General features: G+C 39.8%; 1 protein-coding gene across 4 annotated transcripts in view; it reads left to right on the forward strand.

Annotated features, from left to right (window-relative positions):
• Positions 1-20,886, forward strand: part of FBXO22 (F-box protein 22) — a 38,634-nt gene that overhangs the window by 7,471 nt on the left and 10,277 nt on the right. For 3 of the 4 annotated variants that reach the window (NR_037623.2, NM_147188.3, XM_047432382.1), the window contains 4 exons: positions 1,855-1,942; positions 2,762-2,857; positions 5,882-6,046; positions 18,536-18,701. Coding sequence is in view for 3 of the 4 variants with exons in the window: in NM_147188.3 (NP_671717.1) it covers positions 1,855-1,942; positions 2,762-2,857; positions 5,882-6,046; positions 18,536-18,701 (515 nt within the window). In the remaining variant the exon portion in view is untranslated. Of the gene's footprint in view, positions 1-1,854; positions 1,943-2,761; positions 2,858-5,881; positions 6,047-18,535; positions 19,520-20,886 lie in introns of those variants that run through there. The other variant, NM_012170.4, reaches the window with a different exon arrangement.

The following is a 20,886-nucleotide window of genomic DNA, read 5'->3' on the forward strand; positions in this document are numbered from 1 at the left end:
TTGGGCAATATGGGCATTTTCACGATATCGATTCTTCCTATCCTTGAGCATGGAATGTTTTTCCATTTGTTTGTGTCCTCTCTTATTTCCTTGAGCAGTGGTATGTAGTACTCCTTGAAGAGGTCCTTCACATCCCTTGTAAGTTGTATTCTTAGGTATTTTATTCTCTTAGTAGCAATTGTGAATGGGAGTTCACTCATGATTTGGCTTTCTGTTTGTCTGTTATTGGTGTTTAGAAATGCTTGTGATTTCTGCACATTGATTTTGTATCCTGAGACTTTGCTGAAGTTGCTTATCAGCTTAAGGAGATTTTGGGCTGAGATGACTGGGTTTTCTAAATATACAATCATGTCATCTGCAAACAGAGACAATTTGAATTCCTCTCTTCCTATTTGAATATGCTTTATTCTTTCTCTTGCTTGATTGGCCTGGCCAGAACCTCCAATACTATGTTGAATAGGAATGGTGAGAGAGGGCATCTTTGTCTTGTGCCAGTTTTCAAAGAGAATGCTTCCAGCTTTTGCCCATCTAGTATGATACTGGCTGTGGGTTTGTCATAAATAGCTCTTATTATTTTGAGATACGTTCCATCAATACCTAGTTTATTGAGAGTTTTTAGCATGAAGGGGTGTTGAATTTTATCAAAGGCCTTTTCTGCATCTATTGAGATACTCGTGGTTTTTGTCATCGGTTCTGTTTATATGATGTATATGTTTATATGACGTGTATTGATTTGCATATGTTGAACCAGCCTTGCATCCCAGGGGTGAAGCCGACTTGATTGTGGTAGATAAGCTTTTTGATGTGCTGCTGGATTCGGTCTGCCAGTATTTTATTGAGGATTTTCATATCGATATTCAGGGATATTGGCCTGAAATTTTCTTTTTTTATTGTGTCTCTGCCAGGTTTTGGTATCAGAATGATGCTGGTCTCATAAAATGAGTTAGGGACGAGTCCCTCTTTTTCTGTTGTTTGGAATAGTTTCAGAAGGAATGGTATTAGTTCCTCTTTGTACCTTTGGTAGAATTCGGCTGTGAATTCGTCTGGTCCTGGGCTTTTTTTGGTTGGTAGGCTATTAATTACTGCCTCAATTTCAGAACTTGTTATTGGTCTATTCAGGGATTCGACTTCTTCCTGGTTTAGTGTTGGAAGGGGGTATGTGTCCAGGAATTTATCCATTTCTTCTAGATTTTCTAGTTTATTTGCATAGAGGTGTTTATGGTATTCTCTGATGGTAGTCTGTATTTCTGTGGGATCAGTGGTGATATCCCCTTTATCATTTTTATTGTGTGTGTTTGATTCTTTCCTCTTTTCTTTTTTGTTAGTCTGGCTAGCAGTCTATTTTGTTAATCTTTTCAAAAAACCAGCTCCTGGATTCATTGAGTTTTTGAAGGATTTTTCTTGTCTCTATCTCCTTCAGTTCTGGTCTGATCTTAGTTATTTCTTGCCTTCTGCTAGCTTTTGAATTTGTTTGCTCTTGCTTCTCTAGTTCTTTTAATTGTGATGTTAGGGTGTCAATTTTAGATCTTTCCTGCTTTCTCCTGTGTGCATTTAGTGCTATAAATTTCCCTGTAAACACTGCTTTAGCTGTGTCCCAGAGATTCTGGTACATTGTGTCCTTGTTCTCATTGGTTTCAAAGAACCTCTTTATTTCTGCCTTTATTTTGTTATTTGCCCAGTAGTCATTCAGTAGCAGGTTGTTCAGTTTCCATGTAGTTGTGTGGTTTTGAGTGAGTTTCTTAATCCTGAGTTCTAATTTGATTGCACTATGGACTGGGTGATACTTCAAGGGACTATGCAGAAGCACTGATGGATTCATGGGATCCAATTCCAATTTTTTTTTTTTCTTTGCAGAATGTTCGCATCTTACCACATACAGTTCTTTACATGGCTGATTCAGAAACTTTCATTAGTCTGGAAGAGTGTCGTGGCCATAAGAGAGGTAAATATCAAAAGAAAAGCTTTTGCTTCTGTTTTTTTATCATGTGCCTTCCGTTCGGAGTTCAATATTATACTTGTCCTGAGAGTTAACTGACTTTCTGAGGCTCTGGGACTGCCACCTGTAGTATGCATCAATATATCTATCTTTGAACCTTGAGGAACCCTTTCTGCTTCAGATTGATTTCTAAACCTTGTAGTGCAATTGAAACAAATTCGTTAGAAAGGTGTTGTTCTCAATTTGAGATGCTTTAATTCTCCAGGCACTTTTTATTATTAAAACAGGTTGTATGACTTGGCTATTCAGGCCTTTTACTGTATTGGAACATGAGGTCCCATTTACTAAAGTTATGTAGAGAAATGGTGCATTTTTGGCTTGCTGAGGGAAAAGGCAGAATGGGTATCCAAGATGCGCACACTCAGGTCCCAAGTTAGACTTAGATAATGGATTCTCATTGTCTAATTTGATCCAGGTGACTGTTGATGCAAATAGTAGTTATACTGCAATATCAGCTGAACAGAAAGGTACAATAGCAAGTCTAAAATTCAGCTGTTACTGCTAAATTTGACATCACTGGGGCAAAAGCAATATATGAACAGAGGGGAAAGGCAGACTAGTGGTGCAAAAGATCAGATTTATAATTTAAAAGCCAGGACCAAAACAGGTAAAGTGTTTGTTTTAATCAATGCTTTTAGACCTTTATTTAGAGCATTCTCGTGTTAAATGACTTAAATATTTCCAGTATTTGCTTTTTTACTTTTTCATTCTCAGATTTGACTTTAAATGGATGATATTTATCATTTTGCTACTGTATTTTTACAGCAAGGAAAAGAACTAGTATGGAAACAGCACTTGCCCTTGAGAAGCTATTCCCCAAACAATGCCAAGTCCTTGGGATTGTGACCCCAGGAATTGTAGGTGAGATAAATTAGCAACTTGATGATTTCTTCCTTGCATTAATGTGGGGTCCTTTGGATTGGTGAGTTATTTTTAGCTTAGAACCACATTTCTATTTCTGTCCATCTAAAATACAATAAAGTCAGTCATATTTACCATGGCATTATATTTGCCTTATATTAATGTTTATTAAGTTATTGTACTTCTCATCTCAAGGTTACCTGTATAAATATCCAGTAGTCATTCATAAGAGGGGAATGATCTCATTCTGCCTTCCTCCAAATTAGGAAGTATTTGTGGGCATTTTCAGAGTTTTGTCAGTTCAAGCAGTATTGTGTTTGGTGGGTAGGGGTGAGATGGGGCTGGGATTAGGAGCAAAGCTGGGCCTTACTAGGAGACTTCTGTTTCTCTGCTTTGGTACCACTCTTCAATGTTTACAGCATGAGGTTGTGCCCCTTTCCATGCTTGATTGCTGCTGGTGAATTTTTGCTGGTTTTTATTATTTTTGATTCTTTTCTGTAGTTAACTGGGGGAGGAGAGATTCTGTTGAGGCAGTAATGGTGCAATGGTTAGATACCTGGATTCGAATGCCGGCTGTACCGCTTAGTATCTGTATGACTTTGAGCAAGTTACCTAACTTCATGGGGCTTCACTGTCCTCATCAAGGAAGTGGGGATGATGACAGTAGTACCTTCCTTGGAGGGTTGTGAGAATTAAATGAGTTAACACTTGTAAAGCATTTACAATAGAGATACACAAAGCAGTAAGTAAATGTTAGCTGTCATTTATGTATTGTTTTTGAGATGGAGTTTCACTCTTGTCACCAAGGTTGGAGTGCAATGGCGTGATCTCTACTCACTGCGACTTCTGCCTCCTGGATTCAAGCAATTCTCCTGCCTCAGCCTCCCAAGTAGCTGGGATCACAGGCGCCCGCCACCACCACACCTGGCTAATTTTTGTATTTTTAGTAGAAACCGGGTTTCACCATGTTGGCCAGGCTGGTCTCAAATTCCTGACCTCAGGTGATCCACCGCCTCAGCCTCCCAAAGTGCTGGGATTACAGGCATGAGCCACTGCACCTGGCTGCTGTTATGTTTTTTTGTTCCAACTCAGTAGTACTCTACTGAGAATTGTCATTTTTAATCTTCACTGAAAGATTTTTGATCTGAATTTGAGTCTTATACAGTGAGGTAAAAAGAATTTTACATGTTTACAAATGAATATTATTTGTTCAGTTGCTCTAGCTGTGGTTTCTAAAGGGCTTAACATTTTTTTAAAAAAAAGAGTTTATTTCTTTTTGGCCTGGCGTGGTGGCTGACACCTGTAATCCCAGCACTTTAGGAGGCCGAGGCAGGCGGATCACTTGAAGTCAGGAGTTGGAGACCAGCCTGGCCAACATGGCAAAACCCCATCTCTACTAAAAAATGTAAAAATTGGCCAGGCGCAGTGGCTCACGTCTGTGGTCCCAGCACTTTGGGAGGCCGAGGTGGGTGGATCATGAGGTCAGGAGTTCAAGAGCAGCCTGGCCGACGTGGTGAAACCCCATCTCTACTAAAAATACAAAAATTAGCCAGGCATGATGGCGGGCACCTGTAATCCCAGCTGCTCAGGAGGCTAAGGCAGGAGAATTGCTTGAGCCCGGGAGGCAGAGGTTGCAGTGAGCCGAGATCACGCCATTGCACTCCATCCTGGATGATAGAGCAAGACTCTGTCTCAAAAAAAAAAAAAAAGCTAAAATTAGCTGGGCATGGTGGCTCATGCCTGTAATTCCAGCTACTTGGGAGGCTGAGGCAGGAGAATTGCTGGAAACCGGGAGGCAGAGGTTGCACCACTTCGCTCCAGCCTGGGTGACAGAGTAAGACTCTGTCTCCAAAAAAAAAAAAAAAAAAAAAAAAGTTTATTTCTTTTTTTATACTAGTAATAGTTATTTTTAGAAAAAAAAAATTAGAAGATTCAGATAAGCAAAAGCACCTTTAAGCACCACAGAGTTAACCACTCTTATGATGTTAACCTCTATTTATATATGTATGTAAATATAAAAAACCAGAATACAATTTTCTGTAGACTTGTAACCTACTGTGTTAGTCTACTAGGGCTACCATAACAAAATACCACAGACTGGGTGACTTAAACAACGGAAGCTTATTTTCTCACAGTTTGGGAGGCTAGAAGTCCAAGATCGGGGATGGTCTCTCTGAAGCTTACTTACAGCTGCTCTCTCACTGTGTTCTCATGTGGCCTTTTCTTCATACATAAGCATGCTTGGTGTCTCTTCCTCCTCTTCTCAGGACACTAGTCCTGTTGGATTAGGGTCCTACCCTTGTGACCTCATTTAATCTTAACTATCTCTTTAAAGGCCTTATCTCCAAATATAGTCACATGGGGGGTTAGGGCTTAAACATGAATTTGGGGTAGGCAGTAGGGAGGGAATGACACAGTTCAATCTGTAATATCTACCTGTAAAATTCAGAGCATATTACAAACATATTTCCATGTCTATAAATATATATTTGTCATCATTTTAATGGCTATATTCTATGATACCAATGTAACTTTTAATCTGAATACCAGTGTGGGACATTCAGGTTTTTTCTTTTTATTTTCTATTTGAAATTATGTGATAAAATACTTGGGTATATATATACTTTATATAATTGTCAAATATTTTTAGGGTAAACTTTTAAAAATTGGAATTGCTGTGAAAGTGTATTTACTACCCCCCCAACTTTTTAATTTGAAAAATATGGAGAAGTTGAAAGAATAATAGAACAGCATGATAAATACCCATATACCCTTTATCTAGTTTAGCAGTTGAAAAAATTTTGCAACATTTATTTTTTCTCACTTTGCTTATAAAAAATTTCTTTCTGAACCATTTGAAAGTTAAATGGCAAACATCATGACACTACACCCTAAAACTGTCAAAGCTGAAAAACTTTTACTCAGATAGTGGCTTGTTAGCTTAATGATTATCTTAGTGACCTAAACTGTAGTTATCTAGTTTTTACTGACTCTATTGGTGAAACTGTTTAACTTTTTCTCTAGTGACTCCAATGGGATCAGGTAGCAATCGACCTCAGGAAATAGAAATTGGAGAATCTGGTTTTGCTTTATTATTCCCTCAAATTGAAGGAATAAAAATACAACCCTTTCATTTTATTAAGGATCCAAAGAATTTAACATTAGAAAGACATCAACTCACTGAAGTAGGTAAGTTACTTTTATTTATCATTAACTGCTCATTTTATTGATTAATTTTGTTTTCTTTTTAATTCTGGCTAGTTGGTGGATATTAGGTTCCTTTGGGAGAATCTGAATTAAGTACACCTGTCACTGGAGATGTGGCTAATTCAAACAGGTGATTCACAGAGGCCAGTGTGATACATGTTTGGTAGAATTGATTTACTTTTTAAATTATTTTACTTGCATTAAAGCCCAAGAGAACCAGAGATGAAAAATTTTTCATAAATACTCTGTTGATGATAAACTTGTTTGTATTTAGTTCTGAATTTTAAGGAATTCTTGCTCTAATAGTTTATTTCATTTTGCTCTATTTTTGTTTTGTTAACCTTTTTTATTCTAGTAACAAGCATTTTAGAAGTTTTTAGAATACGCGGGTTAGTTCTTTGTGAACTAATTAGAAAGATGGGAACAAGTAAAGTGACCCTGATGAGTCTTAGGAAATATATGAGTTAAGGCAAGTCTATCAAGCAAGGGGTGTGCTGGGAAACATCCTGCAGGTAGTGTGGATGGAGCCCTGAAGTGAATTTGAAGAGGTAAAGGGTTGGCTTAATGTCTAAGCTTGGATGGGAAAGCTTAACTTAATATAGTAAACAACAAACGAATTACTCAAGGAAAGCAGCGTTTAGCCTTTTATCTACATCTGCAGATGGACTGATTGAATTCACTTCATTCATTAAAAATCACTGTTGGCATAAAAACTATTCAGTGGTAACACCTCATTTTTGCATAGATCAGCCAGCCTATAGAGATAAACCTCTGTTATTTGAAATGGGACTTAAACCAGCTGGAGTAAAAAATTGTGTAGCAGCAAAGGTAAAATTTGTTTTACTGATGAGGAAAAAAAGGGGGTATACACATTGAGACTAGTTTTTACAACTATCCCTGACAATGTGGAAAAAAAAAAAAAACTTGCAAGTCATTGGTGGATGGGAGGGGAAGCACAGAACAAGAGGCATTAGCAGCAAAGACTCAGCCGGGAACCTCTTAATAATGTGGAAGAGGGTGGTCAGGTCAAAGTAGATGGTGGAAAGTCTCAACAGCCAGCTCTGGTGTGACACAGGGTAGTGTAGCTATTAAGAATGCTGACTTAGAAATGAAATCAGTATGTTGAAGAGATATCTGCACTCCCATGTTTATTGCAGCACTGTTCACAATAGCTAGGATATGGAATTAACCTAAGTGTCCATTAGCTGATGGTGGATAAAGAAAATGTGGTATACATACATAATGAAATACTCTTCAGCCATAAAGGACATCCTGTCATTTGCACCAGCATGGATGAACCTGGAGGATGTTAAGTGAAATAAGCCAGGCCCAGAAAGACAAATAGTGCATGATCTCACTCATGTGTGGAATCTAAAAATGTTGCTCTCATAGAAATATAGAGTTGAATGGCAGGCACCAGGATCTGGGGTGGTTGGGAGGGGCTTTGGGGAGATGATGGTCAAAAGATACAAAATTCGTTTTGGAGGAATAAGTTCTTGAGGTCTGTTGTACAACATGGAGACTATAGTCAGTGACCATATATTCTTTTTTTTGTTTGTTTTGGAGACAGAGTCTCACTTTGTTGCCCAGGCTGGAGTGCGGTGGCATGATCTCAGCTCACTGCTACTTCTACTTCCTGGGTTCAAGGGTTCAAGTGATTGTCATGCCTCAGACTCCCGAGTAGCTGGGACTACATGCTGTATGCACCACCATGCCTGGCTAATTTTTTTTGTCTTTTTATTAGAGATAGGGTTTTACCATGTTAGCCAGGGTGGTCTCAAACTCCTGGCCTCAAGTGATCCACCTGCCTCGGCCTCCCAAAGTGCTGGGATTACAGGTGTGAGCCATCGTGCCTGGCCCATATACTATATTCTTGAAGAATGCTAAGAGAGTGACTGTTAAGTGTTCTTACTACAAAAATGGTAACTGTGAGATAATGCATATGTGAATTAGACTTAGCCCTTCCACAATGTATATATACTTCAAAACATGTTATACATTGATAAATACATACAATTTTATCTGTCAGTTAAAAAATAAATAGAAGGTAGTCAACCTTAAAAGATTGCAGGCTTGTAGCTACTCTAGTTCTGCTACTTTCTGGCTCTCCAGTTAGGGCAAGTTTTTCAATTTTTCTAAACCTCCATTTTCCTCATCTATAAAGTGGAAATAACTAACATTGAATTCACAGAATTGTGAAGATTAAATGAAATGACTTTCATAAAACGCTTAGCAACAGTAGATTGTAGCTAGATGCTAGTGTTGGCCTCCACCCTAGGCAGGCTTTACTGTGTGTCACATGGGCCCTTCATCTGCAGTGTGGCCTTGTAGTTTGTGGGGGGAATAGTAGGGTTCTAAGTGTCCTTAGCTCATTCAGAAGCCACATGCCAGAGGAGCATACATGTGTCTGGGCTTGAAGTGACAATTAACGATGGCCAATGTTTATGGAGGTACTGTATGCCAGATACTGTGCTGCGCAGCACTTCTAATCTTCACCACAGCTTTGCCAGACAGAATTCTTTATGGAATATTTTTGATGAGGAAACTGAACTTTAATGGCAGTAGAGAGTTAAGGCTCTTAGGGTATGTAAATAGCAGAGTTAGCAGAAATGTTAAAGCTATTCTAAATTAAGGATGCCAAACTTCCTTTGGGAAAAGGTCAGATAGTGCCCTTAAAACTGACCCATTGTTAAGTGTAAAGGCAAAATGAATTTTAGGAGCAAATGTGGCTATGTGCTGAGCTTATGTGATTTTGTAATAACATAATGAGACTTGATATTGGTAGGCTAGCTGGAGCGAACAAAGTTCAGCAAACTAGGTCTTTTTCAGAGTTGGTCAGGTGGTTAGCAAATAGTAGGTCTGAAACTCAAAGGAATGGCTGTGGTCAGACATGTTGGTTTGAGAACCATTTTGTGTGTTGCCTGGCAGTCTGCCTGTAAAAGCATCAAGTGTCATTGAAGGCCTTGGAGTAAGCCAGTCCAGGGCAACATAGCCCAGATTCTGGGAAGATTTATGGCAGCAAATTTAGTACAAGGAAGGAAGAAGATGATCAATGTGTTGATGTTGACGAGATGACTATCTATATTCAATTGGCTCATAATGTAGAACTCCTACATTAATTTTATTCAGGCTGGTATGGTGGCTCATGCCTGTAATTTCAGTACTTTGGGAAGCTGAGGCGGGAGGATCGCTTGAGCCCAGGAGTTCGAGACCAGCCTGGACAATATAGTGAGACCTCACCTCTACAAAAAAACTAAAAAACTAGCCAAGCATGGTGGCACGCACCTGTAGTCCCAGCTACTTAGGAGGCTGAGGTGGGAGGATTGCTTGAGCCCAAGAGGCGGAGGTTGCCGTGAGCTGAAGTCACGCCACTCTACTGCAGCCTGGGTGACAGAGTGAGACCCTGTCTCAAAAATAAATAAATAAATAAAAATTTATTCAGCATGTTAAAGGTGACATAACTGGATGTAGATTCTGTCTCAGTGACATTCCAGAAAAGGTATGAAGAATACATATACAGTCATATGTTGCTTAATGACGGGGATGAGTTCTGAGAAATGCATCTTTAGGCAATGTTGTTGTTGTGTGAATGTCATAGTACTTACACAGACCTAGATGTTACAGCCTACTATATGTGTAGGCTATACAGTGTAGCCTATTGCCCCTAGACTACAAACATGGACAGCATGTTACTGTACTGAATACTGTAGGCAGTTGTAACACAATGGTAAGTATTGGTGTATCTGAACATATCTAAACATTAAAAAGGTACAGTAAAAACATGGTATGAAAGACAGTATACCTCTATAGGGCACTTAACATGAATGGGACTTGCAAGACTAGAAGTTGGTGTGGGGTGAGTCAGTGAGTGGTGAGTGAATGTGAAGGCCTAGCCCTGTATACTACTATATAGTTTATAAACACTGTATGCTTAAGCTACATTAAATTAATTGAAACATTTTTGTTTGGCCGGGCACAGTGGCTCATGCCTGTAATCCCAGCAGTTTGGGAGGTCCGAGGTAGGTGGATCCCTTGCGATCAGGAATTTGAGACAAGCCTGGTCAACATGGTGAAACCCCATCTCTACTAAAAATACAAAAATTAGCTGGGCATAGTGGTGTGCGCCTGTAGTCCCAGCTACTGTAGGCTGAGGCAGGAGAATCGCTTGAACCTGGGAGGCAGAGGTTGTAGTAAGCCAAGATTACACCACTGCACTCCAGCCTGGGCGACAGCGAGACTCTATCTCAAAAAAATAAAATAAAATTGTTCTTTAATAATAAATTAACTTTAGCTAGACAAAAAAAATTTCCATTTATATCCTTATTCTGTAAGCTTTTCTCCACCTTTAATTTTTTTTTTAACTTTTTAAGCTTTTTGTTAAAAACTAAAACACAGTCACACACATTAGCCTAGGCCTATACAGAGTCAAGATAATATCACTGTCTTCCACCTCCACATCTCGTCCCACTGCAAGGTCTTCAGGGCAGTAATACATGTGGAGCTGTCATTTCCTATGACAACAGTGCCTCCTTCTGGAATACGTCCTGAAGGACCTGCCTGAGGCTGTTTTACAGTTAACTTTTTTTTTTTTTTAATAAGTAGGAGGGGTAACCTCTAAAATTACAATTAAAAGTATAGGATAGTAAATCATAAGCCAGTAACATAGTCATTCATTGTCATTGCCAAGTATGCATTGTACGTGATTGTATGTGCTATACTTTTATACGACTGGCACTGCAATAGGCTTGTTTACAACAGCATCACCACAGACATTTGAGTAATGCGTTGTGCTACACATTAGGCAGTAGGAATTTTGTAGCTCTGTTAATCTTCTGGCACCACTGTTGCATATGCTTACTGTGCGTGTCACCACGCCTGGCTGTCCTTGACCAAAGTGTTATGTGGTGCTTGACTGCATAATCATAACCCAAGTGAGTATGTGAGGTGTTCTGTGAGAGCAGAATGGGTAGATTGCTGTAGGGGTTCTGCCAGTGGGAGGGATCAAGGAGGCTTCCAGAAGCAGGTGGTATTTAAGCCCTTGAAGGATGGGAAGCATATGAGAGATATGGATGAGTAATATCACTGGCTGAAGGAACATAGAAACACAGGCACAGAGCCAGGAAATCCCAGAGCATGTTGGAGAAATAGTAATCATTTTGCAAGCAAAGGTTATGTGCAGGGAAGTCATGGGAACAAAGGGTGGGGCGCATTCAGGCCAGGCTAAAGAGTCTGGGCTTAGCTCCTGTACACAGAAAATGGTAGCTGTTACTCAGATGTCATCGAGCAGAGGTGAATGTGGCCCTCCTGTGTGGGGAGACACTGGAAGCGGGAGACCACTTTAGAGTCCAGGCAAGAAATAACACTAGGGCATGAGGACTAGGGAATGAATTGGAGGAAATGAACAAATGATTAGATGTGAAAGAGAAGGGAAGCCTCAGTAATTACTTTTGAGTTTTGATCCTAGGAGACAAGGGTGATGGTGGTGCAGAGACCAGAAATAGGAACACTGGGACAGGAGGAGCGGGATTGGGAGAAGAAATTGGGAAAAATCAAACCCCATTAGAGATGCTTGTTTTGGCTGTTGATTCAGTGCTGCTGCTAAAGGTCATATGGCCAAACCTTTTGTGTGCTGCCTTTTTTGTCCAGAGAGGTGACATAGCTGTTTCCTGGGCAGTACTCTGTCCTCTGTCCACCTGAGCATCCTGGGAATCTTTGATGAGGCCCTGATATGTGGCACTGGTTGAAGCTAGGACCCTAGTTTTGTCAGTTTATAAGAGCCAAAATCTTGAGCAGCAGAAACCCTTTTGTGATAAAATTGCTATATTTGTTAGATCATATTTGCATTATAGTGCCAAGTATAGGAATGAGAAAACTGGAAGGAAAAACAACCCCAGAATTATTGTGCTCTGTGAAGCTTTCTTATAGGTGTCCTTTCCTGAGCTGCTTGATGTCAGCAGTTTTGGCTTATTCCAAGGCATCATTTTCTTCTGGAAATTGAAGCTTTGCCCAGCTTAAAATGGCCATCTTCATTCTTTCACTTGCTATCTTGTGTCCTAATTTTAGGTAGAGTTGGCCTTCCATATCCATGGGTTCTGCATTCATGGATTCAGCTAACCACAGATCAAAAATATTTGAGGGAAGTGCAGCAAGAAGCCAGGTTTCTAAACACAGGAGTGGCATAATTTGATAGATCTTTTCAAAATAACACTCTTGCTATGATGTGGTGATCATTTTGGAGTACAAGAGTGGATGCAGGATTAGCTTGATTTAGCCATTCAGTAGTGTATATATATTTCAAAACACCATGTTGAACATGATAAATATATGCCTTTTAAATTTTTCAGTTAAAATAATTTTTTTTAAAAAGTATATGCAGGAGACACAGACTGTTGTAGTGGTTAAGGAAAGAGGAGATGGCAGCTTGGAGCAGGGCAGTGGTGAGTGGAGTTGAAGAGAAGTGAATGGATTCAAGATGAAGTTTGGGGCTGAATGGACAGGATGTGGTGACTGATGAGATGTTAGGTGTTGAGAATGAGGGAGGTGACAGCGATGTCATGCGGGTATGTGGCTAGCGCAGCTGTATAGTACCATTGACTAAGGTGAAGAAGATTTGAAGGTGCGGGTTGGAAGATCAGATTATCAGTTCTGTTTTGGACATGTTTGGAATTTGAGATGGAGATATTGATTATAGACAGTTGGATATGTTGGCCTGGAGCTCTAGAGAATGGTCTAGAGGAAAGATATTAATTTGGGAATCATCAGGTAATTAATGGTGATTGAAGCAAAAGGGACTGGCTTCAGTGATTTGAGGAGGAGGGCCGGGGAGGAGGCTCAGTAGTGCATGTTGATTGTCCAGGGTTGGTACTGCTGTAATATTATTTTGACATCCCTCCCTTCTGCTAATGCAAAGGCTTTATTGAGACTACTCAGTAAGGATCTCCTTGAGCCATTTCTTAGCTTTTGTTTTAAACACTTCATTTGTACAGTCTTACATGGGATGTCAACATAAAAATAAAGCAGGTAAAAGCAGAGCCTCTAGGTTGAAGGGTGAAGGGAGCATGTTAGGCCTTGAACTGAGGTTGCTTATTCTCCTCCACCTACACTGGAGGCATCTTTGGAACGCTTTGCCCACCAAAGCACAGTCTGAAAGCCCCAGCTGCAACAGAGGAGGGGAGAGAAGCTTCCCTCCCTGGCAGTGCTCATGCACTTCTTCCTCTAAACCTTCATGTAATCCAGGGAAGGGGCTCTAGACTCAGAGCAGTGCCTGGCAGCTCTACAGTGCCTGGCAGCTCTACCTGTCTGTACCACAGACAGGAGAGCTTGAGAAAGCAGACCTAGCACTGCTGAGCGTTGGCAAGATGGACTTCAGCTTGAGAGCCAGAGCCTCTTTGCTCCTTTGAGAATGCTTGAGGTGGTTAGTTATATAGCAAACAGTTGACTCACACCTGGGATCCTCCCTCTCTTTTCCTTTTACAAATATCCTTCTGACTTTCTTCTAGGTGAAGCACAAACCTGTAACATTGCCTTTTGGGGCACAGTGATTTTCTGGATTTGAGTTTTATTTGCGGAGAGTCCCATTAGAAAAGCTTTCCTATTGATTTTTACATTTTAGGGTCAAGAGAGGAAGTTCTGAAGAATTCAGTTGCCTTTGCTCTTTGAAGGAGAGGATTGGAAGTGTCCTGTGTTTTCCATAGCTCAGTAGGCACAGTTCTTTCTGGCAGCCAGTTCTGGGGTGTGTATTTAATTTTACTTTGGTCTGGTCTGATCTAGCTTCTGTAATATGGATATAATTTGCATGTTAAATGTGAATTTTGGAAGTATTGAATCCTCACAGACTTTTTAGGAATAAAACAATACGTAACAGGTTGTTACAGGCATTAAATAAGTTAATTTCTATAATGTACTTAGAACGGTGCTCTGTACTAGTGTTTGTTGTGAGATTGGTGATCTGGTGATCTAGCTTGTAGATTGTTCAGGTTCTTTCTGCTCCCTGCTTTTTGAACCTTTAACTACTTGTCTTGAATTCTGCCAGCCACCAAGAGGGGTAAAATAGAACTTTAATGACTTGTCAGATTCCAAAAAAGTGTGAAGAAGAACAAAGTTTTAAAATTATCTGAGGACATCATAGAGAGTCTTGAGGGGTCATAGGCAGTACCAGGTGTGAAGCAGAGAGAATCAGTGCTGAAGCTCAAGGGATTGAACTTGTTCTGCCTTCGAAGTTGCCCAGCCCTTGAGAAAGCAGAAGTGACAGGAAGCTAGTGTTAAAAAAAAAAAAAAAAGCGATGCTGACATCTATTCAAGACAATGAGGCAGACTTTATTTGGGAGACCACTGTGATGGGGTTTTGCACTAGGGGAGAGAGATCAGGCTCAACTCCAAATGCACCAACCACAAATGGGGATTTATAGCCAAGGAGGAGGGTGGGGGCTTGGTGGATGAAAAATTCCTAAGAGGATGGGGCAATTCTTTGCTAAATTTACCTAACAAGATTATTACTGGCAAGAACAGTTTCATCCTATTCCAAAACCAAAGACATCTCTTGGTGGACAACTACAGTAGTTAACTTGATTATAGTTGCCAATCCTACATGGCAGGTCAGTTTATCCTGTTACCTAAGGTTACATTTTGTAACCAGCTTATCATCTTGAAAGGTTCACCAGTAGGTTACACTGTTTAAAGTGCCTTATAAATACTTTTCTGGAATTGTTTTTAATGGTTGTGGTAAGCTCCTGCTAATGTATCAACTTTTGGAAAATTCTAGAATAAAATCTGTAGTCAGATTCTATGGCGGGTGGCCCAGAACATTGGGTCCTTGATGATCCTTTACCTATGAATTGGGGGGAACCCAGAACCTTTCAGGAAAACTTGGCATTGCTCCTTATTCTTCCCTCATATTTTAGGCCTTTGAATTTTGAGTGTCAAGGAGTTGGAGTTGTACCTTCCCTCTGTTATTTACCGGTAGCACCAGGTAGTCTGTTGGTTAAATACAGAGCCATCTGCTCTATCAGGCAGCCAGCCTTGGCTAAGGTGGGTTTGTTCTTTAAGTTGGGGTAGGGGAAAGTGATTCTACTTTCTAGGGTTGTGTATTAGGAGGGGGAAGTGTTCCATTAGCTGAGAACCAACCCACTAGAGAAGATGTTGAAAGAACACCACTGGAGAAGATGGTGTTAACTGGAATGTGTGACTGAGGCGAGAATCTCCATCATTCGAGGTTTACTGAGCCAGAGGTTGAGGGCGTATCCGGGAAAAACACTAGTCACAAACGAGTGGCTGTGTACTCTGAAGAGGTTTTCAATACATGTTTTTAAAGGAGAGAAGGAAGGATGGGGAAGGATAGGCATGAGGTGAATGGTTACATTCCTGTGAGACTTTAGTTAGTACTCAGTAAATCTACACTTTACATAAGATAAGGTGAACCTTTTGAAGAAAGGAAGAACCATTTATGCAGATGTCTCAGAGTAGGTGGGTGAATTACTGATCTCTTGTTTTTGTGCAGCATCTGGGAAGATAAGCTTGCAATGGACATTATCAGTGTGGAATTGAACAGATTACAGACCTAGAGTTACAATTGACATGTCCTTGTGTTATGGGAGGATGTACATCTTAAAGGTTTTGAGGCCAGCAAAGATTTTCCTTATGAATGATTTGTGGGAGCAGTCATCTGGAGATGCCTAAAGCCTTTTGCCTTTCCTGGTCGGGGGGAGGGGTGTGAGGCGGTAGGTCTGGCTAATGTATAATGCTCTGACACAGGGTTGTGAAGTAGCAATATTAATTTGGAGAGAGGATGGTGCTTCGCTTGACTCAGCCTCTAGGCTAAACTTTCCCTTTGGCATAAGGAGTTTGGAGGTCCTGAGATTTTTTTAAAATTTTCCTTTACATTGGGTATGTGTTTGTTAAATGAATGGGAGTGGTTGCCTTTAGAATATTCAGGTAGGATGTTTAGTGGATGTTGTAAAAGAGCATCTAGAGCTTAGAAAACAGGAGGAAAGGTTGAGATTTAGAAGTCATGAGGTTTCTAAAAGCTAAAGCCCTGAGTGTCAGGAGATGTGGGTTTTAATGTAGAGTCTGTCATTATATTGTCCTGGGGTAGTAGTCACTTCTCTGGCATTGGCAGTCCTTGTTTGTAAAATAAAACTCTAGACTTGATCTCACAGGCCTCTCCCAACTCTGAAACTTTGTTCTAAAGAAGAAAATATATTCTCTTAAAATTTCGTGGGCTAGTCTATAAGGGAAAAAAGATGCTTTAGCAATGGTTTGGGGTATATGATGTCATGAAAGTAATATTCTTTTTACTGTCCAAGTCAGTAATTTACTGTGTAGAGAATTGGAAATGGACCAGAGGCAGTTTCCCAGAATAGGTCATTATTTGGTGTTAGTAATTGGTCATTCACGCATCTGCATACCCTTTGTTTCCTTAAGTAACTCTCCTTTCTGGTAACCACCTTAGGTTTGTCAAGGTGGAAGTCATGTGGTCAAATCAAATGGAAACACAAGTGTGTTAGGTATTAGATTCATTTTCCTGTCCCCAAAGCACCCGTTTGGTAATGCTGGCAGAAGACATACATGCGGCCAACAATCATAGGAAAAAAAGCTCCACATCACTGATCATTAGAGAAATGCAAATCAAAACCACAATGAGATCGTATCCCATACTAGGCAGAATGGCTATTAAAAAGTCAAAAAATAACAGATGCTGGCAAGTTTGTGGAGAAAAAGGAACACTTATACACTGTCGGTGGGAGTGTAAATTAGTTCAGCCATTGTGGAAGATAGTGTGGTGATTCCTCAAAGACCTAAAGACAGAAATACCATTTGACCCAGCAGTCCTATTACTGGGTATATATTCAAAGGAATATAAATTATTCTGTTATAAAGACACATGCACATGTATGTTCATTGCAGCACTATTCACAGTAGCAAAGACATGGAATCAACCTGAATGCCCATCAGTGATAAACTGGATAAAGAAAATGTAGTACATATGCAGCCATAAAAAAGAATGAGATCACGTCCTTTGCAGGGACATGGATGGAGCTGGAGGCCATTATCATTAGCAAACTAACACAGAAACAGAAAACCAAATACTGCATGTTCTCATTTATAAGTGGGAGCTAAATGATGAGAATACATCGACGCAAAGAGGGGCACAACAGACACTGGGGCCTACCAGAGGGTGGAGGGTGTGAGGAAGGAGAGGATCAGGAAAAATAACTAATGGAGAATGGGCTTATTACCTGGGTGATGAAATAATCTGCACAACAAACCCCCATGACACACGTTTGCCTGTGGAACAAACCTGAACATGTATCCCTGAACTTAAAAAAAAAATCAAATTGATAGTCTATAAACAAGCTGCCAGAGGCTCCAGTGAAACCTGGGAGCTGTGGGCAGAGCAAGTAGGCTGTCTCTGTTACACTCTGCCACCTCCTAGCGGTAGCAGCTTTTAGTTCCTGTGTCACAGAATTGAACATTTTCCTGCTTTGCAAGGAACTTTCAAAGGCTAATTCGCCTTTACTCTCACCTGCTTCCGTGGAGGAGGTGAATAAAGCCTGTATTTCAGTGATGTAGTAGTTTCTTAGGCTGCTGTAACAAAGTACCCCAAATTTGGTGACATAAAACGAGAAATTTATTCTGCACAGTTCAGGAGGCCAGAAGTCTGAAATTGAGATGGCAGTAGGGGTAGTGCTACCTTGGGAGGCTGTAGGGGAGAGTCTGTTCTTTTTCTCTTCCTACCGCTCCAGTTTCTGCTTCTGTGGTCACACTGCCTTTTCTTCTCTGTCTCTCCTTTGTACATCTTTCATTATGAGGACACTGTCATTGGATTTAGAGCCCACGTGGATAGACCAGATGATTTAATCTTAAGATCCTTACTAACATAGCGAGACCCCATCTCTACCAAAAAAAAAAAAATTTTTTTTAAAGATCCTTTTTCCAAATAAGCTTACATGCATAGGTTCCAGAGGTTTGATGTGGATATACCTTTGGCATGGGCAGGGGGCACTGTTCACCACACTATAAGTGGTTAGCGCCTTTTCTCTCCTTTAAAAAATAAAAAATCTGTAAATTCTCACTGCTGCTAGCACAGCTCTGTGTAAACCAGTGTTTTTTTTTTTTTGTTCCCTACTGAGAGCCAGCTTGCACCTTGGTCTACCAAGAGTTGCTGCTCAGTACATAGCTGCTTCATTATTTGTGTTGATTGCATTATTTATTAACACAAATAGCCATTTAGTTTTTTTAATAGAAAAAATAATTAAGATTTTGCATAATGTTTGTAAAAAATGGAAAACTTGATACAGAGATCGAAGAGGATATAAAATAAGATAAAAAATAAAAAATGGAAAATTTGATAGCTTAAGCCACTAAATTGCCCTTAAGGTGGAGTGCAAGTCAGTAACATTTCATTTTGCAGCATGTATAAAATAATTTCTGTTTTAAGGCTGTCTTTAACTGTTGCTCTTCATTTCTCTGCAGGTCTTTTAGATAACCCTGAACTTCGTGTGGTCCTTGTCTTTGGTTATAATTGCTGTAAGGTGGGAGCCAGTAATTATCTGCAGCAAGTAGTCAGCACTTTCAGTGATATGAATATCATCTTGGCTGGAGGCCAGGTGGACAACCTGTCATCACTGACTTCTGAAAAGTATGTCTTGTGTGCTTCTGATTTCGTCTGTGAATGAAGGGAAATGGTCTCAGGTTTTGTCACTTTGGGGTTAACAATTTAAAAAACGTGTTTAAAGAATTATTAAGATAATAGTTCATTCCATTTTGTAGTAGACATTGGCTAAGGGGCTTACTGAACATAATTCTGCTTACGGTTGAATAATTACATTTTTATATATATTGTCCTTCAAGAACTTCCTTGAGTCACATTCTCCTTAAAATTTGACATTGCCTGTTGATCTTTCCTTTGACAGATGTGGTACTCTGTGTGACCTCAATGTGTCACCTCCTTTCTAGTTTCCTCCTTTAAAGGAAACACATGGTTAGAGTGTATCTTTATGGCAAAACTTCTCAGAGCTTCTAATATGCCCAGTGCTGTGGAAATCTGGAAGGAGAATAGCATTACCTGTGACAGTTCCCAAATGTGTTTGGTCACAAAACTTTTTTCCACAGAATGTCTTGCAAGTCGTACTGGTTTTTGGAAATTCTGTATTAGATCTTTTGAAAGGCTTTTTCAAGCTTAAAAATTGTGGATCTTTTTTGTTACTAAGGCTTTTGCTTTCAAAGATAAAAATATTTGCTCTTCTGTCTTGGGAGCCATTACTTCCTTTCCATCTTGAATGAAAATACATATCATTTTGAGTTTGAAACAATTAGGTGGACATAAATATCATTTGTTTCCAGCAGGAAAATCAGACCCTACCCCACCCTCAATGCTTGTAAACACTACTATTTGTTTCCCACTCTGTTTAATATTTGCATCCTAGAGTGGTGACATGGGGACAGACTGTTGCAGATCAGTATCTATAAGAATAATGTAAGTCATCCTAGTTATAGTCTCTCTTCTGGTTATCTCTATGAGCTAGATCTGGGAAAATAGCTAAAGTTGAGGTCCCTGGACTGCCAGGGAGGAGGAAGAGAGGAAGGCCAAGTACGTTGAATCCCAGGCAGGATATCAAACACTGGATTTTGTGCATACATACACTGAATTCTTGGTGGCTATCTAAGTTATTTCCCCTCTTGCCTAATTTTTCCTGTGTCTTTGCTATTAACTTAAATTGTGTACGGATAGGGCAATGGTGATTCAACATACAGTTTACCTTTGAAATGCAGATACCTCACTCAGACTTATAACATCTGAGGTGCTAGCTTGTAAGTGTAGCTATTTGTATATCATCTACTTTTTATACCTAATAAGAGAAACACCCCCCACCCCAATCATTACTCTTCACATGACCCATTAATTTTAATGTGGTCTTCATACTCTGTCAGTGGTTAAGAGAAACCATTGAGTAAATGAGGGCTCCATTTTAATAAAGTCCAGATAACCCAACTGACCCAGTGCCCCAAAAGGAAGATGTATAATTCTTTGAGGCAAGATTGACAATGTATATTAACAATTCTGTACCAAAGAGGAAATGTGATAAAGTTTTAAGAGCAGCAGAGGACTTCAGAAGACGGATTTTGCCCCTCACAAACTTGTTTTACTACTAGCTAGCCTTATTACTTTAGTCACTTAACCTTTTTGCGTCTTAGTTTCTCACTAATCCAGTGACTCTTGCCCATTTTATAGATTCAGATGTTGGAAGCATGATACAATACTTGTTTATCCCCTAGTGGATGTTCACTATATTATGCTTTATTACTTTTATCAATGTTGTATTTTCTTTTGTAAGGATATTTCATTTTTTAAAAAAACCAGGCAAATATAAACAAAAACAAAGCATGAGTTTTTACCATCAAATTAAGCTGAACTCTAGACTCAAAGCAATAAACAAGACAAAAAAATAACATAATCATATTTTCTAGTGGACTAGACATAAAGCTAAAACTTCTAGAGTTAATAGGTTTTTAAAATTATCCTCTGAGTGCAGTGGCTCATGCCTGTAATCCCAGAACTTTGGGAGGCTGAGGCAGGAGGATTGCTTGAGCCCAGGAGTTTGAGACCAGTCTGAGCAACATAGTGAGACCCTATCTCTACAAAATGTTTACAGATTAGCCAGGTGTGGTGGCATGTATCTGTAGCCCCAGCTCCTTGAGAGACTCAGGCAGGAGGATTGCTTTATCCCACGAGTTTGAGGCTGCAGTGAGCTATGATTGTGCCACTGCACTTCAGCCTAGCTAACAGAGAACCCTATCTCTAAAAAAATAAAATCACCCTCCAT

The sequence above is a fragment of the Homo sapiens genome, chromosome 15, assembly GCF_000001405.40.
Source record: "Homo sapiens chromosome 15, GRCh38.p14 Primary Assembly".
NCBI classification, from domain to species: Eukaryota; Metazoa; Chordata; class Mammalia; order Primates; family Hominidae; genus Homo; species Homo sapiens.